The sequence below is a fragment of the Homo sapiens genome, chromosome 10 (assembly GCF_000001405.40).
Source record: "Homo sapiens chromosome 10, GRCh38.p14 Primary Assembly".
Classification (NCBI taxonomy): Eukaryota; Metazoa; Chordata; class Mammalia; order Primates; family Hominidae; genus Homo; species Homo sapiens.
The window spans coordinates 21,137,610-21,164,505 of NC_000010.11; the positions used below are offsets into that span (position 1 = coordinate 21,137,610).

At 41.2% G+C, this 26,896-nt stretch overlaps 1 protein-coding gene across 10 annotated transcripts in view, besides 3 other annotated features; it reads right to left on the reverse strand.

Annotated features, from left to right (window-relative positions):
* The window catches only part of NEBL (nebulette), a 513,078-nt gene that overhangs the window by 357,637 nt on the left and 128,545 nt on the right, over positions 1-26,896 (reverse strand). The window lies entirely within an intron of this gene.
* Positions 21,553-22,103: an enhancer, noted in NCBI's record as "NANOG hESC enhancer chr10:21448091-21448641 (GRCh37/hg19 assembly coordinates)". NCBI's record gives its function as "activates a minimal SCP1, AML or CMV promoter by ChIP-STARR-seq in naive H9 embryonic stem cells {active_cell/tissue: H9 hESC(naive)}" and the evidence as "EXISTENCE:reporter gene assay evidence [ECO:0000049][PMID:30033119]".
* Positions 23,357-24,261: an enhancer, noted in NCBI's record as "OCT4-NANOG-H3K27ac hESC enhancer chr10:21449895-21450799 (GRCh37/hg19 assembly coordinates)". NCBI's record gives its function as "activates a minimal SCP1, AML or CMV promoter by ChIP-STARR-seq in naive and primed H9 embryonic stem cells {active_cell/tissue: H9 hESC(naive and primed)}" and the evidence as "EXISTENCE:reporter gene assay evidence [ECO:0000049][PMID:30033119]".
* Positions 24,262-25,165: an enhancer, noted in NCBI's record as "OCT4-NANOG-H3K27ac hESC enhancer chr10:21450800-21451703 (GRCh37/hg19 assembly coordinates)". NCBI's record gives its function as "activates a minimal SCP1, AML or CMV promoter by ChIP-STARR-seq in naive and primed H9 embryonic stem cells {active_cell/tissue: H9 hESC(naive and primed)}" and the evidence as "EXISTENCE:reporter gene assay evidence [ECO:0000049][PMID:30033119]".

Below are 26,896 nucleotides of genomic sequence, written 5' to 3' on the forward strand. Positions count from 1 at the left end.
CTGATAGGTGGCACAACCTAAGCTAAGTGAAACTGGAAGTGAGCCAGGCATGGTGGCTCATGACTGTAATCCCAGCACTTTGGGAGGCTGAAGCAGAAGGATTGCTTCAGGCCAGCAGTTTGAAACCAGCCTGGGCAACATAGTGAGACCCCTCTGCCATCTCTACAAAAAAAATAAAACTAAACCAGCTGAGCATTATGGTATGTGCTTGTGATCTCAGCTTCTCGGGAGGCAGAGGTAGAAGTATCACTTAAGCCTGGGAGACTGGGATCACACCACTGCACTCCAGCCTGGGTGACAGAGCAAGACCCTGAAAAAAAAAAAAAGGAAAGGGAAGGGAAGGGAAGGGAAGGGAATGGAAAGGAAGAAAGGAAGGAACTGGAAGTGGATGGAGAGGAGCCCAGCATGCTGCGAATGGTGGGTATCGAGATTTCCAATGGTCAGTGGTCAACTCCTCCTTGCCAAGTCCTCCACCTAGAGGGTAATGATATCTATAACCCTAAAGAACAAGGTAGGAGGGAGCATGAATCTGGCTTCCGAAAACAGTAGAAACCAAAACAGTCTTATATTATTGGGACAACGGACAGCACTGTCCCAACTCACCGTAAACACTGCAAAATGTGTGCATGTTCCACTGGAAATTTCCAAGATCAAGGAGAAACAGATGCATCCAAGGAATGGCCTCTGAGGTGGAGCGGAATGATGGCTTATGGATTCCCACCAAGCTCAACACAAAGAAGCCCAGAAGGTACAACTGAGGGGCTCTCCCAGGAGACAGAGGGAAGAAATCTTTATAATAAATGGACTGTCCACTTTGCCTCTACCATGATTACAAGCTAGAAGAAATATATAATGAATAGAGGCAATGCACAGCTATTAGAGAAACAAAAAGAGGGGTCAGGGTTCAATAAAATGTCATCGGGAGAGGTGAGGAAGACCAGAAGCAATGGATGAGGACAGAAACACGACAAAAATGGGAAGTGTGAATAATAAACATTATTTTAAAAAAACTATACTCCAGGTGCTATGTTATGTGTTCCAAAATCAGCCTAATCCTCATGACAACCCTGCAAGGTACCCACAGGAGGCTCCGAGAGGTTTGGTAACTTGCCCAGAGTCACACAGCTAAAAAACTGCAAAACTCCATTTTGAACTCAAGTGCAGCTGATTCCAAAACATGTACTTTTAGTAACGACACCAAACTAAACTATTTAAAAAAAAAAAAAAAAAGATTAATGGGACAGAATATCTGCCAAGAAAACAGAGAGCGATTACTATCATTCCAGACACTCTAAGTAAGCAAAATTAAATTAAATTACCAAAAGTAAATAGCACATCGTAATAAATAACAGCCACTATCCATGACTTCATGATGTTCTTATACGTGATCTATTCCTACTTTGATTGTTCATTTGTAATTTAGCCTTCAAATCTGTTTGAAAGCAATTCAACAACAAAAGAGAACACGCTCAGTCATCTCTAGTTACAATATGTACACAGAGCTCTCAGATGTTAAGAGTCACGGCTGGCCTAGGAATTTTTATAATCAAGTTACATAGCACTAGTGGAACTTTTTCTGGGAATCTAAGTCAAGCTCTAAAGCCTATAATTCAAAGTAACATGAAGAAATTAGAGAAGGGCATTTTCATTAGCATGAAGCTTTGGAGTTGTGGCCAAAGGTTTTGAAAGAAAATGTAAAATCCAATCAGACAGAATAAAATGATGATATAATCCTGCCAAGAGCAAAAGAAATGCAGAATGTAATCAAGCAGGAGGGGAAATCGGTTACAATTTGGATGAGGATACCCTACGTCCACTCAAATCAGAGGAAAGAAGAACATAAGGATATCAACCCAGGAGACCAAGGTTGAAAATCCATCGCATCTGAAGGGTGTGGACCACTATCTGTTGTCAAAGAAATTATATGAGGTTTAGCCTCATGTTGTCATAGCAATGATGAAATGGATTTATCTGTCCAAAAAGAATGTGGACATATGGTTCCTCAACCCCAAATCTCTGCCAGATAAACAATTGTATAAGAGGCACGTATTAGCACATGTCGCACCTATTAGCATGGTAACCTCAACCCAACTCCCATTATAGACCTGCTTTCCACAGTGCACATTTGTCTTGGCAACCTTGGGAAGGTACGGAATTAAATATAGAAATGCCGAAGTCTATGAAAGCCACAGTATTAATAACTTTGTGTGAAGCTCAGAATAATCTTCGTACATTAGGGATTAAAGTATATGGAACATGGTCAGGCACTGGTGGCTCACGCCTGTAATCCCAGCACTTTGGGAGGCTGAGGCAGGCAGATCACTTGAGGCCAGGAGTTCGAGACCAGCCCGGCCAACATGTTGAAACCCTGTCTCAACAAAAAAAAAAAAAAAAAAAATACAAAAATTAGGCGTGGTTTCAGGTGCCTGTAATCCCAGCTACTCTGGAGACTGAGGCACGAGAATCACTTGAACCTGGGAGGTGGAGGCTGCAGTGAGCCAAGATTGCTCCACTACACTTCAGCGTGGTCGACAGAGCGAGACTCTGTCTCAAAATAAATGTAAAATAATAATAATATATAAGGTGTATGGAATGGTTGAGAATCTGATATCTTTGAAAATGTGCCAGATTTGAATTGATTTTAGATGTGATTGAGTAAACAGTGAAAATATGAGCGTTTTCAAACAATATTAGAATGTCTGGAAGAATGAGGAATCTACCGTATTTATACATTTCATTTTTAATTTGCAAGAATTATTCAAATACTTAGGAAAGTGTTTGCTAAGGTCTTCAGGTTTGCTTTATCAGGCATTTAAAGTGATTAAAAAGAAGATTAGACATATTTATTTACAAATACAATTTTAAATGTTTAAGAAGATGTAATTAAGTTACAAATTGAATGGATTAATGGGAATATAGTCTGTCCAGCCTGAGTTTATCAAGCATCATTTAAAGCAAACACCCATAAATGATTTGTTCTTATTTCCTACTCTACTTTCTAGATTTATATATAGAATAACAAGACATTTACGGTAAAATAAAATCACACAATGAAAAAATATAGTTTTCAACTTGAATAAATCAATACTAATTAAAAACTAATATCAATTTAAAACTAATATGAATTACAATGGGAACACATGGACACAGAGAGGGGAACATCACACATGGGGGCCTGTCGGGGAGTGGAGGGCAAGGGGAGGGAGAGCATTAGGACAAATATCTAACGCATGCATGGCTTAAAACCTAGATGGTGGGTTGATAGGTGCAGCAAACCACCATGGCGCATGTATACCTAGGTAACAAACCTGCATGTTCTGCACATGTTTCCCAGAACTTAAAGTAAAATTAAAAAAAAAAGCTAATATCAATTTTGGTCCCATCAATAACGGAAACCCTGAATCTAATCATGAGGAGACATCAAATAAATATAAAACAAGAGGTATTCGACAAAAAAAAAAAAAACCTGCTCTATGCTCTTCAAAAATCTCACTATATGAAAGAAAAGAAAGAAATGTCCCAGATTAAAGACACCAAAAAGACATGAAACAATAAACTGCATGATCTTGGATTTTCTTTTGCTAAAAATGGCATTATTGTTTCATTTAGTGAAATCTGAACGAGGTCTGTAGATTAGATAATATGACAGTATCAATGTTAATTTCCCAGTTTTGAAAGTTATATGGTATTTATGTAAGGGAATGCCTTCGTTTTTAGGAAATACACAGTGCATTATTTAGGGGCAACGAGACATCTTATCTGCACTTACCTCAATGGTTTCAGGAGAAAAAAATAGCATATAGAGAAAAAGGATAAAACAAATGTATCAAAATATGACCATTTGGAGAATTTGGAAAAAAGCATACAAGAATTTTTCATGATATTCTTGCAACTTTTCTGTTTGTCTAATATTACATCAAAATAAAAGTTGAAACAATGAAAAACTAATATTTAAAGTAAAAGTGTTGTTGTTTATTTAATGCCACCCTTGAACATCAAAAATCACCCATTGACAGAGAAACACAAAAAAGATGGTTAAAAGCTGAAAAAGTAAAACTAAGAGACTAGAACAAGATTGAATAAAATGAACAAAAGGGAAAATTCCCATTCTTAATAAAAGTCAGAAAATCTCAGAGTGTGTTATCTGAAGTATGTTAATCTTTCCTCTGCCTTGAACCCAAAATTGATAACATCCCTTTGGATGAAGCTCTGATGCAAAGCATGTGAGATGTTCACGGCAAATACCTGTCCCAAGGTTCTACCCATAGGGTGCCTGAGGTCCAGGATTATTCTCCCACTCCACCTCCCACGCCTTCAGCAGAACTCCTGTTCTAGAAAATCTTCCTCTTGACATAATACTATATCCTTCTAGGTAGAAGACAGGCCCTGCCCCTGGTATCCAAACATCAACTCCAGCCTGGCCGGGATTAAAGGGTTTTGAATCACTCTCTGTAATAGGACAAAAGACCTCATTCAGTGGCAAAACTTGTAGGAACAACAATTCTCTTAGCACTCTCCTTGGTAATATAACCCACTATTCCTAAGCATTCACTCTTGGTGGTATTCCTAATACACAGACATCTGACTTAAAATATGCCAGCCTTTCTCAGAGACCATGACCACATGGACCAACCAAATAGCCTAGAAATATTTATGACTTCACCCTGGGTTGCACCAGCCCTGTCTACTAGCACAGCCTGAGCCACCTATGTACTGCAGCCACACAGACTCCAGCTTGGCTTACTCTGACAGCACCACAGGACACCACCCCAGAAGTTCCAGATCACCTTACCACTCAGTCCATGGCAAAACTACCCATTCAGGGTGTATAAGAGAATACTTGGGCAAACAAGCGAGCACAGGAGTCAACAGCCACCTGTGAAACAAACTAAACAAGACAAAGAAGTTTTCCAACAGCGTCAGTTATGAAAAATCAAAATGAGCATCTAAGGGAAATTGTGGGATCCTTTTCTCTATTTAAAATCATGGAAAAATGATTTACTTTTAATATTTCAAATACTCCATGCCTGAAAACAGGAGATAGACTATATCAGGGGCCCCCAACCCCCAGGGCGGCAGACGGTATGGCGAGCATTACTGCTACTGCCTTCTGAGATCAGCGGTGGTATTAGAGTCTCACAGGAGCATGGCCCCTGCTATGAACTGCGCGTGTGAGGGATCCCAGTTGTGCTCCTTATGAGAATCTAACTAATGCCTGAAGATCTGAGGTGGGACAGTGTCATCCTGAAACCATCCTCCTGCCCCCCACCCCCAACATCTGTGGAAACCACAAAACCTGTCCCTGGTGCCAAAAAGGTTGGGGATGGCTGGACTTTATAATCTTCAGGTAGTTATACAGTGGTGAATTTGAGACTTAAGTGTGTGTGGGGTGTGTGTGTGTGTGGGTATGTGTGATTAAAGTATAGAAATACCTAACAATTATCCTTTTATTAATTCAACAAGGGTCAACTAAGTACATGTTATATGCATAATGTGAATGTAGAAAAAGAGGAGTTTTCATAAACATGTTCAAAGGGAGGTTAAACTTTAAGCATGAAGCCAGGCCCAGTGGCTCACACCTGTAATCCCAGCACTTTAGGAGGCCAAGGTGGGCGGATCACTTGAAGTCAGGGGTTTGAGATCAGCCTGGCCAACATGGCGAAACCCTGTCTCTCCTAAAAATACAAAAATTAGCTGGGCGTGGTGGTGGGTGTCTGTAATCCCAGCTACTTGGGAGGCTGAGGCAGGAGAATAGCTTGAACCCGGGACGTGGAGGTTGCAGAGAGCTGAGATAGCACCACTGCACTCCAGCTGGGTGAAAAGAGTGAAACTTCATCTCAAAAAAAAAAAAAAAAAAAAAAATCAAACGTGAAAAGTGCTTTATCAACTACTTAGCACAACAATTCAATGCAATAAGTACAACCAGACTCATTTTCAAGGTAAGAAATCCTAAGGTAAAAGAAAGGAGAACATAGACAAATATCAGAAAGATATAAAATGGCCCAATCAGAAGTCCCAAAACAGTTGAAGAGGACCCCAAATTCTAGTCTTCAATCTGGAATAACTGAGTGCCTTGGCAAACCACCCCACTTCCCCAGATCTTAGATTCCCTACGTGTTCAATAAGTGACTTGAACCAGAGAGCTCTGAAGGTTGCTTCCAGCCTTTACGAACAAATAAATACATCTAGATTTTCTATTCTAGGACTTAGCCCCATCAAAAAACATCACAAGCCAGATCAGGATAAGACAAGAAAAGAAAAAAAAAAAGCTTAAAATAAGACCATTCCAGAAAAACTTTATATCAAGTTTACTCTTTTACACAGAAAAGGAGAATGGTAATTATTCAATCAGAAAAAAAGAAATGATGATTATTCGAATAAGATACCACTGAAAACTCCAACAAGGAGAGAAGGATTTTTGCTTCAAGTATTTTGTGATTACTGACAATAGTTATGTTCTCTGGTCTCTGTAATGAGAGGCATCTGCAGCACTGTTTGTGCCCTTGGAGGGCAGAAAGGTGGCACTGCCAAGGGGCTGTCACTCTACTCCTCCTTTGTCTTTGTATCCACCTCCTAAGGAACAAAGACACAGTCATTGCCCTCAGGCCCTCAGTTACCTTCACTTTTTCCCAGGATTAGGTAACACCTGCAGATGGGGCTGGATGGCTGCTGGTACTAGAAGAAACCTGTGCTGGGCACCGTTCCCCTTCCTTAACCCAGTGGCTTCCCTGGTACTGCATTCAACCATCCAAATCGCCCTACAAGGTAACGCACCCTCCTTGGCCAGTTGAGCCTCCCAAATAACCCCCTCTTGCTCAAATAAAATCAGAATGGGGCCGGGTGCTGTGGCTCACGCCTGTAATCCCAGCACTTTGGGAGGCCGAGGTGGGGGAATCACCCAAAGTCAGGAGTTCAAGACCAGCCTGGCCAACCTGGCAAAACCTTGTCTGGACTAAAAATACAAAAATAAGCCAGGTGTGGTGGCACGTGCCTGTAATCCCAGCTACCTCAGAGGCTGAGACACGAGAATCACTTGAACCCGGGGAGTTGGAGGTTGCAATGAGCCGAGATCATGTCACTGCACTCCAGCCTGGGAGACAGAGTGAGACTCTGTCTCAAAAAATGAAAAAAGAAAAAAAGGCAGATTGGAATAGGAAGAGCCAGGTTCCAACCCAAGCCCCATCATATAAGGCCAAGTGACTGTAACTAGCTATTCACGTCATATGTCTCTCATCTCCTCTGTAAAATAGTGGTTAGCATGGGCTCTCTCCTCTCAATGAAAAAGTATATAAAATGAAATGAAAAAGTATTAAACATGTTCAAGTATATAAAAAGCCCCTTCAAATTAAAAAAAAAAAAAAGATATCTCTCCAAGCACAAAAAAGGGGTAGATAAAAAGGCTAACCACAGAAGTAAAAATGGCAAAAAAATAAAATAAAAGATGCTCGTGGATAGAACAAGAAACCAAAAATAACACAACCATTAGATATTACTTTTCATCCAGCAAACTGGTAAAATTGGAAAGATTAGATTCACAAGATAGGGAAAGATGGGTATTCTCTTACATTTTGTCTGGGACAGTAGGTTGCTATTGCCCTTTGGTGTGTTTGATAGTGGCCAACAAAATATGAAATATATAAGCCTTCTGGCTTGGCAAAATCTCTTTCAGTACTCCCCTACAGAAATATTCTCACATATGCCAAAGTTATTTGTATAAAGCTGTTCAATGCAGCACTATTTATTTAAATGTCCATTAATTGGGGAATGGTTAAATAAATGATGGAACACCTATTTTATAGGATATCAAAATGCCATTAAAAAGGATTAAATAGATCTATTGATTTGTTCTGACATGAACTATATTATGGAACTAGAATAGTGCCTGACACTTAGGAACCACTCGGTAAGTATCTGTTGAATAAATGAATATGTATACACCTTTTCATAGCACTTTACATAATCTATCTCCTCTCATTCTTATGCCAACCCTACAATATGAGCCAAGTGGCTGTTATTGTGCACTCTGTAAGGATGAGGAAATTAAAATCCAAGGAGGTTATGACCTGCCGAACATCCCAAACATAAAGTATGGAACCAAAACAGAATCAGATCTACCGGTCAGTACTCTTTGGTGGCTGACATCCATTCTGCCTGCAACAAGGCTAACCTGCACGCAAACCCTGTAGGGAAATGCCAAGGGCTCCGGCAGCTGGAGAGTAACTCAGTAATTGCTTGCTGATTTGGACTGACTGAATCTTCTTTTACCAGCAAAGCCCTCCATTAGGTGAGGCTCGGCTCTCTGGACCGCAGCTCGGGCCCATTGGGCATCTAACAACAGGTCTGAAAGGAGGTCATTCAACAACAGGTCACCATGGAAACCCTAACCCCCTCCTCGCCCCTGGAACAAAATGGAGTGGGAAGGCAAAGAGGAGCATTTGTTAAGCGCCCGCTATGAGCCAGGCACCATGAATAGGGAAAAATTCATTTGAGTCTTCCTTTACAAATCTCCAAAAGAAAAAGAAACTGTGCATTGTTAAACAAAGTACAGAACAGGCCTGCGTCGCTGCTTAATCTAGGTCAGTGATAACTGCAAAGGAAGTTTATTTCATGCAGAGGGTACTCCGTTCACCCCTCTTACAGCTGCACGTGTCAGGCAGCATCATTTACATCACCACGTGGCCCTGTCTCAGCACACCCATGCAGTATAAACCTGCCCCCAACACATACTCTACCTGTTCATGTCTGGAATGTACATTTCAGCCACACAAGAAAAAAATGACTGGTTGATTAGTAAAGCACAAACACTCTCTCTCATATAAGCTAGAGGACAGCCAATATCTTCAGAAATTTCAGGTGCCATGCTTTCCATAGAGTAGATTCTTCTTTCACTTTTAGCCATCCTACTCCTGCATTATCAGAAAATGGTGAAAATGGTGCTGTGTTTGGGCATTGTTACCTTGGAACTTTCATCTTAATTACAGAAGCTCTTAGCAACCGTTGCTTAGTAACAAACACATTTGAAATAGATTTGTTGACTGATTATGAGATGCTCTGAAAAGTCTGTAGAATGAAATTCACTGATGGAAAAGAATTGCAATGCCCTGGTAAAGTAAAAATTTTTTTTAACTACAAAAGTATTCACAAAACTTGGGCTATGAGCAGGTCCCAAAGATATTACTGAACTTCTGGAATAGTTTCATAATATTTTATGCTGCTTTATGGCTGGTCTATTATTTTCATAATCAATTCGGACACAATTATCTGACTAAACAGCTGTCGAAGCTCTGGGAGATAGGCCTTAGGGTTTTAGTCAATGCAGAATTCTGCACAGAAAATCAATGGCTTCTTGATTTCCACGGGTTCACAAGGTCCTCCCTGCCATAACGCCTCTTCCCACTCAAGATTTCTGAAGGGCCTGAGGCTTCTAGTGACTCTTCAAGTCAGAAGCAAAAACCAAGGAAAGCTTTGCCTCCATCTTTCCAATAATATTTCTTCAGCACCTATTAATAAAATCTGTGATAAAAAGTAGAAATGGAGATGCGTTTAGGACTACATCCACGCACATCTTCCCCAAAGCAAAACCCCAACCCCACACACACTCCCCTCTCTGAGCCTGGGACCTCCTCCTGCCTCTCAACAAGGTCTCATTGCACGTTAGCCATTTTCACCTCAAAAACTAGGAACCTTCGCCCAGTTTCTCAGAAGAAGGGGTCCTCATCAGCAGAGAAAGTCCCTCTCCTCCCTTGTATCTTTCTGGAATTCTTCTCTGACCCTGTTTCTCCTCCGGTTTTTTTTTTTTTTTTTTTAGACAAACCTCTCAAAGGAGGAGCCTCCCTTCACTGGCTTTCCCTTCTCACTTCCCACTCAGTCCTCAACCCACTGCAGGCTAACTTTACCTCCTGATTTCCTCTTTCAGTCACCATTGCTGTGGATTCCAGAAAGACTTCAATGAAGAGTAGTGTAAGTTTCCTCAGTCTTCTCTACTCCATAAGTCCTTTCTTCCCAGGGAGTCCTTGATATTTACCACGGTTCAAGCCTACATCCCTGAGTAAGAAGAATCCGCCTCCACGGAAGGAACAAGAGAACATCCACCAAGCGAGCACCTGTCCAGAACATTCTATCTGGTTGCCCAGAGCAACTCATGTTCCTCACAGTCTGCTTCACCCATTTACCTTAGCTACCCAGCCCCTTCAGCATTCGGACTTGAGGCTGCAGGCAGGAATCTTTGTACTGGCCTTCCTGTCGCCAACCAAATTCAATTCACTCACAGGTTCCTTCATGAAACAAATATTTATCAATCACAGATATTTATCACCATGCCAAGCATTGTCTTTAGGCAGTGATGATACAATAATGTCCAGAAAAAATAACGGAACTCTTCGTTATCTTATGGAGTTCACAGGATGAAGAATTACTCAAATAAATATAAAATGAGTGCTAAGAAGAACTATACAAGGCTAGAAGAATTTACAGTAGAGAGCACTAGCCAGACCATCCCTGTTGACAGTTGAGGCCTAAAGGACAAAAAGTCATCAACAAGACAAAGATGTGTGGTGGGAGAAAGTTCCAGAAAGGGAATAACACGTGCAAATGTCCCAGCTTCTTCTCAAATGATTTATCCAGTATACTCCTGTGATATTATGAAACATGTACATTGGTTTCCATCCACGTTCATGGCTCATCACTCCCAGGACGCTTGTTATTTCCTAAGTGACTGAAACAATAAGTATCTCTTCTGTTAAAGTATGTGGACTTTGGTCCGTGGTTCCCAAAGCAGCTTTGGAATAGCATCAGTGATGAAGGTGAAAGACAGCCCTGTGGTAGAATGTTGGGATTCTTTAGGCCTCAGAAAACAGAACCTCTCAGGCAGAGTTTTATCCTGCCCTCCTTTTTTGTTGTCGTTGTTGTTTTGTTTTTGTTTTTGTTTTTGTTTTTTAGACAGAGTCTCACTCTGTTGCCGGGCTGGAGTGCAGTGGCGTGATCTCAGCTCACTGCAACTTCCACCTCCTGCGTGGAAGCGATTGGCCTGCCTCAGCCTCCCGAGTAGCTGAGACTGCAGGCACATACCACCATGCCCAGCTAATTTTTGTATTCGTAGTAGAGACAGGGTTTCACCATGTTGGCCAGGATGGTCTCAATCTCCTGACCTTAAGTGATGCACCCGCCTCAGCCTCCCAAAGTGCTGGGATTACAGGTGTGAGCCACCACGCCCGGCCCCTGTCCTCCTTTTGTCTGCTCCTTTTTCTCCCCAAGACAGGCCATAGAAACTAAAAATATGCTCTCACCTTCCCCTACCTTTCCATAAAGAAATTCTCTGATGTCCATTGTCTGACTGTGGGTCACAAGACCCCCATTTCAGAAGGGGTCCTGCCCCATACCCAGGAGGAAGGAATCCTGCACAGAGAGCCCAAGAAGAACCTGAAAGGACGGGACTGGCTGGGTTTCCCCACTCGTCTGTTAGGATTAGATCATTCCCTCTGTGTCTAATCACATTTCTCCATGGGTGTCCACGCTTCAATCACACCTATCCGGTGAAGCGTCCCAAAAAGGCCCAAGAGAACACTGTAGTGAGAACTTCGGGGCAGCTGTTCCTGGAGGGGGTGCAGCAGGGGAGGGCAGGGAAGCTCTGTAACCCTTCCTCACCTTACGCACCTCGTCGTCGGTATCCTTTGCAATAGTCTTTCTTTTTTTTTCTTTTTGAGACAGAGTCTGTCTCTGTCACCCAAGCTGGAGTATAGTGGTGCAATCTCAGCTCACTGCAACCTCCGCCTCCTGGGTTCAAGCGATTCTCTCACCTCAGCCTCCTGAGTAGCTGGGACTACAGGTGCCTGCCACCACACCCAGATAATTTTTATATTTTTAGTAGATACGGGGTTTCACCATGTTGGCCAGGCTTGTCTCAAACTCCAGACCTCAAGTGATCCGCCTCTCTTGGCTTCCCAAAGTGCTGGGATTATAGGCATGAGCCATCGCGCCCGACCTGTAAGTCTTTCTAATAAACCAGTAAACATAAGCAAGGGTCTCCCTGAGTTCTGTGAGCCACTCTAGCAAATTAACAGAATCCAAGGACAGAGTTCTGGGAACCCTGATTAATAGCCCGTTGGTCACAAGCACAGATAAAGCCAACTGGAGCTTGCGATTGGCATTGGAAGTGGGTGACGGGGGCGGTCTTGTAGGACTGAGCCCTCAACCTGTGGGATCTGGTGCTATGTCCAGGTAGATAGGGTTGGAATTGAATTAGAGGACACCCAGCTGATGTCCACTGCAGAACTGATCACTTGCTTGGTATGTGTGGGAAAATCCCTCACACATCTGGTCACAGAATTCTTCTGTGTTGATTGCTGTGGGGTAAAAGCAGAGGAAAAACAGTTTGTGTTTTTTCCACTCAGAACTCTCCCCTTAGAGAGGTTCTCTACTTAAGTTATGTTCCTTTTTTAGCATATTATTATTGACTTCTAAACTAAATAAAGGCTCCCATTGCAAAATCAGAGCAACAATTATTTTTGAAAGACTAAGACTGAAGTATGAAATAACGAAGGCCTCACTTTTAAATTATTTACAAAATAAATAAATAAAATATGGACCAAAAATATTTTTCTCTACTTCCATAGCCTCATTTATGTGCGGCTTGCATCTTTTTTAAACTAAGGATTTATATCGAACGGTTGGAAGCTTTCGCTTCTCATCAACTTTCTGACAAATTCTGCTCAGAACAGCTGCTACCATAAAATTTAATTTGCTACTTCCCAAAAAAGTCACTTTGGTGTAAAATAACTTTGCCTTCCTGCTAATATTTTACAACCAATTAAAGCTGAAATGATGGCTGGGAGTCTACCCAGTGAGGCTCCAACCACGGGCTTGCACAACTACAATATGTGAAGAAAAACATGAAGTCACATGTGCTGAAGAACATACAATATATCTCCAAACATTTGCACTGCCAAGAAAAGAAACTCGTGGGGTTGTTTGGCAAATATAAAAATGAGATGTGAAAACTTCAGAATTATTATCTGTGTAAATCCATTTCCATATTTCAAAAGTTTAAAAGACAGAATCATTACATGTTCCTAATTAATCTTTATAGTAATCATTCTTTGCACACCTTCTGTACAAAAGTCACACCCGAAGCCAACAGCATGGCACACCATGTTATGGCATTTATTATGAGCTCACAAAATGAAAACTTTCTTCAGATGTTTTCCTAGGTGTCCAAATTGTACAAGAAAATTAATAGGAAGTGGAATTTCACCAACTTCTTCAACCCTGGCTGAAGAACAAGGTTCCGTTGTCAAAACTCATTCACACCAAGGTGGTGCTCGATGCTCAAAAGAGGTGAGAGGAATGTTTCCTCAGCCAAGCCAAGGAAAATTAATGACCACCACTCAGAAATATACAGATTGTTAGGGCAATTCCCTGACCTCTGAGCATCACTGAAAGGCAGAGACGGGAAGGATGAAATGAGGGAGAGCAAAGAAAGGAACTGAAGTCATTTTTGGAGAAATAAACAAGACTCGATTCTTCTGCAGGATTTTTCCAAGTTCCATTTAAAGCAATCTAGGCCAAAATTATATTCAGGAAACAAAAGATATGTCTTTGCACATATAGCAACGCACACCATGTAATTCACCCTGCTTCAGTCAACAGTCATGACTTTGTCACTGATGATGACAGAATCCTCCTGCGTCACCACTCATGTGGTGAAACTTCCAGGGGGTCCAACTCCCTCAAGGACCATGGCTTCATGATAACTCTTGGTTCATTTTAATGACAAAATGCACTCTTGTTTACACCCAATGGGATATCATTACAGTAAATATGTGACTGTCCCTTTAGCACAAGCGCACACACACAAAAGTCCTTTTCTAGCCCATTAGTGCTTTATTTTTACAACCAGCCAAAGTGAAAAAAAACTTAAAACCTAAATCACACATCACGTCACTCCTCTGCTCAACACCCCAGCAACTGCCCCCCTTAGTCAGAGCTGCCCAGATTCTGCAGTCCCTGTAATGGTTTACAGGCCTTGTAGGGTCCCCACCGTCCCCAGGCCCCTTCCTCCTTTCCACACAGGCTTCCTGCCTGGATTGCTTTTCCCACACGCCCCAGGTTCACTCCGTGCCCTTGCTATTCCCTTGCCTATACCAGGTTTTGCTCCAATGTGAAAACTAGACTTCCCTGACCAACTTATGCAAAATTGCAAACTCTCCTCCAACCCCCTGCCCAACCAAGTGAAACTTATCTCTTCCCCTGCTCCATTTTTCTCTATAGAACATATCCGTTTCTAATATTTTACTGATTGTTTGGTTTTGGGTTTTGTCTGCCTCTTTCCACTAAGAAGCTCCACGAGGGCAGGAATTTTCCTCTACTTTGCTCACTGCCACATTCCAAGTACTTAGAACAGCGCCTGGTTCATAGGACAGGCTCTTTCAATATTAAGTAAATGAACAAATGAATTCCATCATTACTGAATAATAAATGAAGGAGTGAGTGCATTTCCGCTATCCGGAAATGGGACAGAGAAGGCAAGTCTTCCAGGGCCTGCGAGGAATGCAGGCGGAGTCAAGTCTGAGCTTACTTCCACCCAACACAGCCCAATCCATGATGGATTCTCTTTCGTGCTCATCTGTCTGGCCACCCCTTGACTTCCAATGATCATCAACGAATCTCATAGATTGGACCCCAAGGACAGTGACGCCAGTGTAATATTTTAAATCCGTTAGTCCCAAGAATTCCAAAGGCATCCAATGAGCATCTCCCCACCTCCATTTCCCAAAGTTATACAATGCCCCTGGGCTATTCCTCACATCACAGGCTACAAGGACAATAGTATCCAACATTGACAAACCTCAGCATAAATCCGCAGGACACTGAAGTGGGAGGATCACCTGAGCCCAGGAGTTCAAGGTTACAGTGAGCTATGATTATGCTACTGCACTCCAGCCTAGGAAACAGAGCAAGACCCTGTCCAAGAAAAAAGAAAAAAAAAAAATCCAGAGCAACAAAAGCCAAAAAGAAACAGGAAGAGGACAAAATTTCATCCAAACTTCTAACTATTCTGCCCAATTGTACATCAAGTAATATTATACTTGGTTCAAGCACAAACTCCACTCTGAATTTAAGAACCTCAGAACAGTAATTTAACTTTCTGTTTGGAGAGAAAAGAAAGACTAATGAGTCAAGCTGTAGTCCAGAAATCCAATGACTGCATTATTTTCCTTCTTTATTCTTCTAAAATAAAGAGTGACCTTGAAAAAAACAACTGTACATCAATTTCCTTGTTTGTAGCAACATGAATAATAGAATAACCCCATAGAAAACCAGCACCACCTTATGTACTTAGAACCAAAGTCTTGGTCTCCTTGGTCTCAACCTCCCTTTTCAGACTTGGTGGATTTTATCTGGCTGAGAAACTCCAGTCTCCTAGGCCAAAATTGTCCACCCCACATCACGAGCCTTCTAGCTCACAAATGTGCAATGACCGTGAAAATAGGTAATATTTATGGGTCAGGCAGTTTATATGCATTATCTCATGTAAACCTCTCAACAACTCTTGGCAGTAGATGCTATTATTCAATATTATCTCCCATTTCACAGATAATGAAATTGAGGTTGGAGAGATGAAGTGATTCCCCATGTGGATCTAGAGGTCAAAAAGAAATAAGTCTGGCTCTTAATGCCCACACTATACAGCAGGGCTGCAAAGGCCCTTGTATTATAAATTAATTTTTTTTTAAGATGGAGTTTTGCTCTGTCATCCAGGCTGGAGTGCAATGGTGAGATCTCAGCTCACTGCAACCTCCGCCTCCCGGGTTCAAGTGATTCTCCAGCCTCAGCCTCCTCAGCCTCCTGAATAGCTGGGATTACAGGTGCCCACCACTACACCTGGCTAATTTTTTATATATATTAAAACAAATATATATATTATATATGTATTAATTTTGAGACGGAGTCTCACTGTATCTCCCAGGCTGAAGTACAATGATGCAATCTCAGCTCACTGCAACCTCCACCCCGAGGGTTCAAGTGAATCTCCTGAGTAGCTGGGATTACAGATGCACACCACCACAACCAGCTAATTTTTGTATTTTCAGTACAGACGGGGTTTCACCATGTTGGTCAGGCTGGTCTCGAACTCCTGACCTCGTGATCCTCCCTCCTCAGCCTCCCAAAGTGCTGGGGTTACAGGCGTGAGCCACCGTGCCCGGCCATAAATTAAGTTCTTAAAATAAAAGTATATACGGAAATAAACGTAAGTCTTTACATCTTAAAAGTTAAGATGTAGGACCTCGTTATATTTGTTAAATGATGCAAAATGAAATAAGACCACATGAACAAAATAGAATGGGCAAAATAGAAAAGTTCATAATGAACACAGACATGATATACATATTTTTCAGAAATCTATTCCACCTGATTCAGTGTTTTTGGGAAACTGTTTCCTAAAAATCAGCTTAATCATAAAGAGAATGATTCTCCAGTTCAGAAAGGAACTTCTCATATTATTAATACCATACAGAGAATAAATTGTCTTTAAAGCAAACACTAAAGTCATATTTAAAAGTGAGCCACTGGCTGGGCACAGTGGCTCACATCTGTAACCCCAGCACTTTGGAAGGCCGAAGCAGGAAGATCACCTGAGGTCAGGAGTTCGAGACCAACCTGATCAACATGGTGAAACCCTCTCTCTACTAAAAATACAAAAATTAGCCAAGCATGGTGGCATGTGCCTGTAGTCCCAGCTACTCGGGAGGCTGAGGCAGGAGAATCACTTGAACCTGGGAGGTGGAGGTTGCAATGAGCTGAAATCGCGCCACTGCACTCCATCCTGAGTGACAGAGTGAGACTCTGCTTCAAAAAAAAAAAAAAAAGTGAGCCACAATGTAAACAAGCTATAACATTAAATTTTCATGACTTTGTGCTCGTGGGTCTCAATAACACCTGTGTTTAGAAATTCACAATATGAAACAGAATATGAGAAAGGTAGCACAGCACTCAAAACCAGCAGCACAAACTCTACACATTATCCAAAATGCTAAAGAGATGCTGGATGTGCACTTTCCTCAATTATCAACATTGTAAAATAAATCTTCACAGCCTGGAATCTCTTTATTGCCTTTATTAACTCTTACTCCAAATCCAAATCTTACACAAAATCTAAAATAATTTGAAAATGCATTCCAATTTGAAATATATACAGGGGTACTTTTTGAATTTTTTATTTTAACCTTTGTGGGTGTATAGTAGGTGTATATACTTGTGGGGCACATGAGATGTTTTGATACAGGCATACAATGCATAATAATCACATCATAGGCTGGGCGTAGTGGCTCACGCCTGTAATCCCAGCACTTTGGGAGGCCGAGGCGGGTGGATCACGAGGTCAGGAGTTCGAGACCAGCCTGGCCAACATGGTGAAACCCCATATCTACTACAAATACAAAAATTAGCCAGGGGTGATGGTGCACACCTGTAATCCCAGCTACTCCAGAGGCTGAGGGAGGAGAATTGCTTGAACCCAGGAGGCAGAGGTTGCAGTGAGCTGAGATCTCGCCACTGCACTCCAGCCTCGGCGACAGAGCAAGACTCCCTCACACACACAAAAAAATTTTTTAGTAATCACATCATGGAAAATGGGGTATCCATCCCCTCAAGCATCTATCCTTTGAGTTACAAACAATCCAATTATATTCTATTAGTTATTTTTAAATGTACAATTAAATTATTATTGACTATAATCACCTTGTTGTGCTATCAAATACCAGGTCTTATTCATTCTAACTATTTTTTTGGTACCCATTAACATCCCCACCTCCTCACCACCCTCCCACTAACCTTCCCAGCTTCTGGTAACCATCCTTTTACTCTCTAGCTCCATGAGTCCAGCTGTTTGGATTTTTAGATCCCACAGATAAGTGATAACATACAGTGTTTCTCTTTCTGTGTCTGATTCATTTCACTTTATACATAAGTACTTCGGAAATCTTGAGTACTGTGCCTATAATAAGGTAACATTTCAACTTTCAAACTCACATTCAAAACCCAAGTAATCACTGGTAATCACTGCATTGCTACAGCTCAAACAATTGACACACCTGAAAAGACCAGAAGAGTGAAATAGGGAAAACATTACCTGGTTCCAGAGAGAAAACTGACTGGGCAAGGGAGGTGCGTTGGAAAAGCACTATCACATGGTCATTCGTGTTTCCACTTATTGAGCTGTGCCCAGTTCTTTATAATTATCCATTTTCTCTTTTCCTCCTCACAATCAATTCCTCTGCAGAGATTAACGCCCACTGCATGACAAGAACAGAGGCCCCAAGAGGTGGAGTTGGCCCCCACCTACTGATTATTGCCACCGCTCAAAAGCAATATTGGGAACAGCCCTACAGTCTCCAGCAGGGCCCAGACCCCATATTTCAAAACAACGGTTCATAGAAAAGTTAAAAACATCCATCACACCACAAGTGCTGAATTTCTGGCCACTCAAGTGGTAAAATAGAAAGAATCAGTAGAAACTCCAAGGAAAGAAAAAACTGCTGGCATTCATTTATTGGGGGACAGGAGGAATTCTATTCATGTAATTTGCGAGAAGTAGCTTTGCCCTTTCTTTAAAGACCAGGAGAGTTTTCCATTTGGCATCTTTTTGGTGTGGTTGTAAGCACGGGGCAAAAAAGTACAAATGTGCTTTTGTACAAATGGACAAAGAGTTATCAAAAAATTAACTCAACAGTATTTAGGAGGCATTGAAAGCTAGGATCTGATTATGAGGAGGAAAAGAGAGCAGTGTGTTTGGGATTCGTTTTCAAAGTCAGGAGCAAACATGGAAGAAGAATGGTGTTTTCAAAACACACATTAATTCAATTGATGGATAAGATTTCTATCAGGTAATAAAGTTCACCTGGGAGAATAGGCTAACCAGGGAGCATGTCTACTGGAAACAAAGCAAGACCAACCCATTTCTTATCACAGGACATAACTATGCTGCCTTCGTGCTTTTTTTTTTTAGGAGCCCATTACTTATATATAAAAAATGGCAATTACAAAAGTCTATTTCACTCACTCTTGAAATACAGATACAATCCTTCATTGCTTAATAAAATAATAAAAGAAGTTTTAAGAAAGTGAAGCTATCTGAGAAACTTTCATGAGAAAATTAATAATTAAATTCTGAAATTGAAATATAAATCCTAAATCGTAGGAATATTAAGATTATAAATCTTCACACTAGAATCTCTACATTGAACTACAGCCAAGGTCACAATCATGAGTTTTTCCCCCTTCTTTTTAAAATAAAACAAGAACTATGTCATTTTCTATAAAAATTTAAACCATATTTCTTCTTGCCATTTGAAACTGAAATTCATTTCCTTATGAATATTTCAATACCATTCTCCTACAAGCAAGAACAATCTATCAGAGAACAATTTTCTAATTGTTTTACAAGCTTACAAAGCACATAATGTCACAAAGTAAAGGTCCTGGGTGAAAGAAGAGAAGGTTATTACTCCTTGAAAATATTAGTGAAATCACAAAGATATGCATGTCAAAGGAAGAAACAGACACTGTGGTCAACTCGTAATTCAGAAAAAGTCTCCATTATTCCTTCACTTTTTTTTTTAACACTGATCTTTTATAAGCTTTATTGAGGTGTCATTGATATACAAAAAATTAACAGCATTTAAGCCAGGTGCAGAGGCTCATGTCTGTAATCCCAGCACTTTGGGAGGCCGAGGTGGGTGGATCACGTGAGATCAGGAGTTCAAGACCAGCCTGGGCAACATGGTGAAACCCGTCTCTACCAAAAATACAAAAAATTAGCTGGGTATGGTGGCACGTGCCTGAAAGTCCCAGCTACTCAGGAGGCTGAGGTGGGAGGATCACTTGAGCCTGGGAAGCAGAGGCTGCAGTGAGCCGAGATGGTGCTACTGTACTCTAGCCTGGGTGACAGAGCAAGATTCCATCTCAAAAAATAAAAAAAAATTGACAGCATTGAATTTGTTTTATAAAATTCTTCAGTTCACTGTGTATATATTTCCTTTCTTCTCTAGCATCAAAAACACAGTTAATTTTGCTCTGCTTGACTTTTCTTAGTGAACCTGTTGGAGTTGAATTGTATATGTATTGGAGTCCAAAAAGTGTGTTAGAGTCCTAACCCCACAGACCTCGGAATGTGACCTATTTGGAGATAGGGTCTTTGCTGAGGTAATCAAGTGAGAATGAGGTCATAGGTGTGGGCCCTAATACAAGATGGCTGGTGTCCTTAGAAAACGAGATTAGGACACAGACACACATGAAGGGAAGTTGATGTGAAGACACAGGGAGAAGACGGCTAGCCATCTATTCAACATAAGCCAAGGACAGGGGCCTGAAACAGAGTCTTCCCTCACAGGCCCCAGAAGAAACCAACCCTACAGACACTTAGATTTCGGACTTTTAGTCTCTAGAACTGTGAGACAACAAATGTCTGTTATTTAAGACACCCCGTTTATGGTACTTTGTCACAGCAAGCCTAGCAAACTATGACAGAACCTATGAGGACTTTTTATTTTAAAGTCTTTACAAACCATTCTGCACTCATCCATGTGAGGATTTTGCCAGGAATTAATGTCACATTAATTAGGCTGTAATTTCTACAATCTGTCTCTTCCCCTTTCTAAAACTTGGGATGTTTTCTCATCCCCAAAGCTTTCTTTTGCTGACAATTTCTCAAAGAGAATAGGCAATAGTAATAATAGCCAACATTTATACAGTGTCTACTCTATGTCAACTATTTACATAGATTATCTTATTTATCCTTGCAGTAACCAGAAGAGGTAGCAAATACTATTATTATCAGCAACTGAGACACAGAATGCCCATTTTGCAGATGGGATAACTGAGACAACATCACCATTTTGTAGGTGAGGAAACCGAGGGATGGTGAGGCAAAGTAACTCAACGTCAGCCCCAGAAGGGAATGGTCCCTTCACTCCCCCACCACATCCGCTCTCACTGCTAAGGGACATGATTCCAGTGTTTCAGTTCCAGGACCACATCTACAGGGTTTTCTCAGGTCCCTAAGATGCCACCCTCTGGATGGACAGATTCCAATTTCCTTAATCCAACGCAAAACGACTTGATGTCTGACTACTGGCTCTCCTAATTTTTACTTTAATTTCTTAATGACGTTTTGGATCTTTTCTAGTTGTAAATCTGTTCTTCTCAGTTGAAAGGATAAAAGCTAAATAGGAATTGCATGAAAGCTAAATAGGATTTTTTTCTGTCATCGTTTATTATCACAATTATCCTCCCCAAGCCAGGGTTCCACTTTTTTCTTAGAATATAAGTGCTTTTGAAACCCACTTTGTCTTTAGAATTGTCACAAGCCATGGTTTTGAGCTTTTCTGATCCCATTCTTACTGTGTCTGCCATCTTTGAACACTCAGTGATCCATCTTTTAAACTGTGTGTTAGGCTAATCTGAGCTTAGAAAGCTCCCAAGGTATGTCCTATGATGCTTTTCCTCCACCCTTTTTTTAAAGATGTATTCCCCCTTTCTCTCTCTGAAATAATTAACACTTTTTCAATCAGGATTTTATTTTTCAAAGTCTTCTATCTCACTTGAGCCACCTTTTTTTCTTATTCCTTCTTCTGTTTGTTCAGCAAATCTTTATTAAAAGCTAACTGTGAGCTAATGACTAGACCAGTCACAGGGGTATGGCACACATCGTTTATCTTAGAGTTTCTGAGAACCTAAGATTTCTTGAACAAGCACAGCCTTTCCTTCTTCCCCTACACCGTTTGAAGGTTTTCTTAAAAGGCTAGGTGTGGTGTGACTCCTTCTTTTGCTCTCCTGAACTTCAACATAACAGAGACTACGTGTTCTAAAGTCCTCACAACTGCTACCCCATCGACCAATTCTTTTCCAAATTAAGCGCAAAGCAGCTTGAAAGCAGTGACGTTGTCCACAAAAGCAAAGCAAGAAACCAACTGGTATTCTCTCTTAAACCTTCAGCAGATAACTCATTGAAAAAGCCTCCATGACATTTCCAATCTGGACAAGAGGCACATGGTCTGCCATGCAGCGGGGCCACCTGTTTCCCTTCTTTTCCTTCTCACTCAAATGTTCTCCATCATCTTTTCACCTTCAAGATTCTTTCTATTCATGGATTCACCTCCTAGACATGTTTCTCTTTTAGCATACCAAGCCTCTCCACTGTCACAATTTAATCATCAGCCTGTCCCCATCCCACGTTGGCAAAACTCCTGGATCTTACGTATCTCATAATGTGGCTATGCATTGGTACAGACAGGTGAGGTCATAAATATTCCCCTGCTGGTCTCTTCTGAGAATTACTTGATCCTTCCTCCATTCAGGGACTTCTTTTATGTTACCACCTGTTTTCTCCTGCTAGGGAATTAATTTTTAAATCCTCGGTAACAATTGTTCCTGACCCACCAGTATAGACCCAGAGAAAGAAGCCAGACTTGGGAAGCTTGCTATCAGATCAGCGACTGCTGTCTCCCATTCAGAGTAAAGGTTCTTTTACAGTCAATCAACACATGTTTATTCAGTCCCTGTTATATACTCATCACTGTATAAAGAAAAAAAAAAAACTAATATGCTTTTCTTTCAACGTCTGCCAAACTGCCATTCTGCAGGACACTTCCTGGGCAGCAGCCCCCGTGTGCAAATCTTGAGTGCTTTTTACGGGCCACTCAGCCCTGCAGGTATATATGACACAAGAGGCGCACAAATAAGCCAGCTTCCTGACTCCCAGCCAATTAAACCTGACATTACATAACTGCTGTTTTAAAAAAAGACCACAGAGGCAAACCCTCTAAACAGAATTTTCTTTCTTTAGTAGCCTCTGAGGAAGAACTGTTCTAATATGGTGTTTCTATTCCTGATAGGAATAACCCTTAATTATCACGTGCCTTAAGCATCTAGAAATTTTTAAATAGAATTCCCCTTAATGTTAAGAGAATCAGAGAACTACGTCACTGGCAACAGAAAAGACTTCAAATAGAGAGAAAGAGAAACGGAGAGATAGTGGGGTTGGGGAGGGTGGGTTGGGGGAGAAGCACTGATCCTACAGAGTTATTTTTAAAGTTCTGGAAATGTGGGAGAAAAGGCAGAACATTGAAGAAAAATCACTTGAGAAAAGAAGATTCTTCCACAAGAGCCTGTTAAGACCTTTTATTCATCAGGAATTGACCATTAATCCCTGATTAAATTTAGTTTCAGGAAATGAAGCCATCAAACTTATTTCCAGGGGGAAAAAAAAAAAAAACATGATATGCAAGTAAATGTGTATATGGTCTGATGTCTCAAACACATGGTTCACTCCTAGGACTTTGAAAAACAGAGTCATAACAAAGTGATTTTTATAAACTACCTTTGTAGACATTATTCTTGTCATCATTTGTTCCATTGCATGTCAGTGACCCGTAATCCAGCTGCAAATTTCAATATTTCACCTACACAGAGGAAGTGTTTGCTACTGTTCATGTGCATTATCAGTCCAAGCATGGCCAGCAACATCTAGGATCGCCACACAGATCCTTATAGAAAGATATGTCTATTGCTTCTTTTTTATTTTTATTTTTATTTTTTGTTATTTTTTATTAGAGACAGGGTCTTGCTATGTTGCCCAGGCTGGTCTTGAACTCCTGACCTCAAGTGATTCTCCTGCTTCAGCCTCCCACAGTGCTGGGATTACAGTCTTGAGCCACCATACTCGTCCTCTATTCCTTCTCATTGAGTCAGCTTTCTTGGCTGGGGATGCCTAGAATAAGGCTAAGCTGTATCATTCAGACAGCCAAAAGAACTCACCATGCCCCCAACAAAGCTAGATGGGCAATCTGTTCCAACAGAGGGACAATTTCTGAGCACACAGCACGTGTGCTTGTAGACAAAGGCAATTAGACCATTCCTGACCTCAAGAATGTAATTTGCCAATAGGACAGACTCGTGTATCAATAAAAACAAAATCTAGAGAGTTATATTAAGAATCCGCCCATAATTAGTGACCCCCCACCCCCTGTTCCTGTTCACAGGCAGCAAACTATTTCTAATCTTCCCCAACTTCTATTGACTGACTGGGGATGGTGGATTTTAGGCCCTCATTCATGTCCTGATGGAATAGGAAGGCTCAGGATGTAAAGAGGCAACCCATCAAAGGTAGCTTTGATGGCGACAGTGTGAAGCATGCCTGTTGTATAATAAAGAATTTGAATGGCCTTTGTCCCTGGTTCCTGGGAGGCATACTCTAAATACTTGAAATTTCCCAAGTAATTGGAATGTCTTTGTTATTCATGAGCTCCTTGGACCATATCTAAGGGGATGTGATCAAGGTGGCTCAGTGCACCAGAAAAACCAACTCTGTGATTAGAGGTTTGGGGCTTTGAGCCGGATGAGATCAGCTGACCTTTTCCAGGGAAGAGAGGGGGCTGGAGATTGAACAATCACATCACCAATGAGTCAATCAATCATGCCTACATAATGAAACCCCAATAAAAACTCTGGATACCAAAGATTGGTGGAGATCCCTGGTTGATGATTGCACCAATGTGCCAGGAAGAAAACACATATTGATCCCACAGAGCAAGGACAGGGAAGCCCCATATCCAGGATCCTCTCAAACTTTGCCCTAAGTGTCTCTTCATCTGGCTGGTCTTGATTTGTATCTGTTATGCTAAAACAATCATCTTAAGTAGAGCACTGTCCTGAGCCCTGTGAATTGTTCCAGCTAATTATCAAATCTGAGGGGGTCGTGGGAACTCTCAAATTTGCAGCCAGTTGGTCCAAACTGTAGGTGACCTAGGGACTCCTGGGCTTGAAGTGAGAGCAAATTTGTTGGGATCTGTGCCCTTCATTTGCAGAGTTGATGCTAACTCCACATGGTTGGCATCAGAATTGCATTGCGGTATTGTAACACCCATTCTCAATTCCTTACACACTTGCTCTTTAAAAAGTAAAGTAGTCCCTTCAAGGAGCAAAGCTCTTGCAGGCTGACTTGACCTCGCCTATCCCAACTCACCTCCCACTCCAGGCTGAGAATATCTATGGTCCAATTTCAGCAGGAAACCAACTCAAATGGGAAGACAAACACGACCATCATACAAAGCAGGCTCTTTGATAGGTGATATAATTGAGGCATAAAAAGTACAATGGATGGACAAAGAAAGAGTTCAGTAATTGATTGAGAGATTCAGAATATCTTCACAAAGGTAGGCATAGCCTTACAGATGTGCCTTAAGGATCAAAGTCACTCCAATGCCAGAGGGCATAAGAACAGCATGAGTAAAGGGTCAAATCACTGTGTCTAGTTAATAATGAGGAAAATTACAAATATATCTAAATTTTATTAATTCCTTACCATGTGCCTGAAACTCTGCTAAGCTCATTATTAGATTGGATATTCCAATGAATCCTTAATCCTAAGAGATAGAGTCTATTATACCCATTTTACAGATGAGGATACTGAGGCTTAGGTTAAGAAATTTGGTGAAGGATTCAAAGCTAGCAGCCCAGTGTGGCTGGAGAGAAGGAGGTTAAATGGAAGTGGATAGAAGAAGGTAGATTGTGAAAGGCTCTGAAAGTCTGCTAGAAACCCAGTTTTTTTTCCTATAAGCAATAGGGAGCCATCACAGGTGTTTGAGCAAGAGAGTAGTATACTCAGAACCAAGTTTTCAGAAAATAACTGTGGTGGCAGGAAATGCATGAAGCTCAGGAGACTGGGCAGATAGTGGGGAGAGTAGGCAGGAGAAGACAGTGCAGGTTATCCAAACAGGCCATCAAAAATACATCTACTTATAGGGCACGTCTTTCTGCACTGAGGTATGCGTTTGCTGCAGTGTTCTTGCCACTCCCACGCATTGCCTGAATTTGCTGGAATTCACACTCTGGATCAATTAATGGATACAGAGTCATATTTAAAAACCAAATCCAACATTGGCAGGCAACCTTCTAACTCCCGCTCCACATCCCAGATCTATAGACCCTTGGCTGAGTTCAGTCATCCTATTTCTCCAAGTTCTCTGTGTTTGGTTGCACCTGCCTTTGATGGATAATGAGTCTCAGAGTGCTAATCAAAGATTTTTATCCAAATGGCTTTTTAGACCGCTGAGCTGATGCAGAAGTACAACAGACCACCAGTCTGGTTATTGATCAGATGCTATTCAAGAATGCACACATCGAACTAGTTCTCTTCTGGCTCCTCCTAGAATTCAATAAGAATGAGTCAACAGAGAGTGTGAAAAAGTAAACAGAAGTCAAACGCGAAGCAACATCCTCCAAGACTCTGCTAAGAAAAATGCACAGCTAACTATAAATAAAATTAATACGGGATTTCCAGTGATGGAAGAAACAATCATTGCCACTTAAACCTGGTCCTTCTCACAACTTCCTGTTTTCATGGTTAGGTCTGTGCCCTATCTAGGTTCGACCAGAGAGGCCTGAAGAACTGTTAGACCCATTAGCAGGACTTTGCTGAATTCAAATAGCCAACCTGAGCATGGAAGAAATCAATAATAATCATTTTACTTAGTTCCTAAAACATTCTGGGTACTCAGCTCATAAATATTATTCTAGATTCCACGGTAAAGCCAAGGTCTCCTAAGGCTAAAAGCCAAGGTCTTCCTAGTAACACTAACTATAAGAACTGAAACAGAACAGAAACGTAATTGATTTCTCCTTCCTCTAGAGACTTAAAGGAGTTCTAAGCCCTCGAGGACAAGGGTGTCATGCATGGCTATGTCTGTATCTCTCTTACTCCCTGATGTCCTAGGAACCACTCTGTAAAGCACTCGTCTGAAAACATTTAAAGAGGACCCACTGAAATGTCCTCTCGCACAGGCCCTTGACACATAATCAATATACCTTTAAGCACACATATCTATATCTTGCATTAACCTTG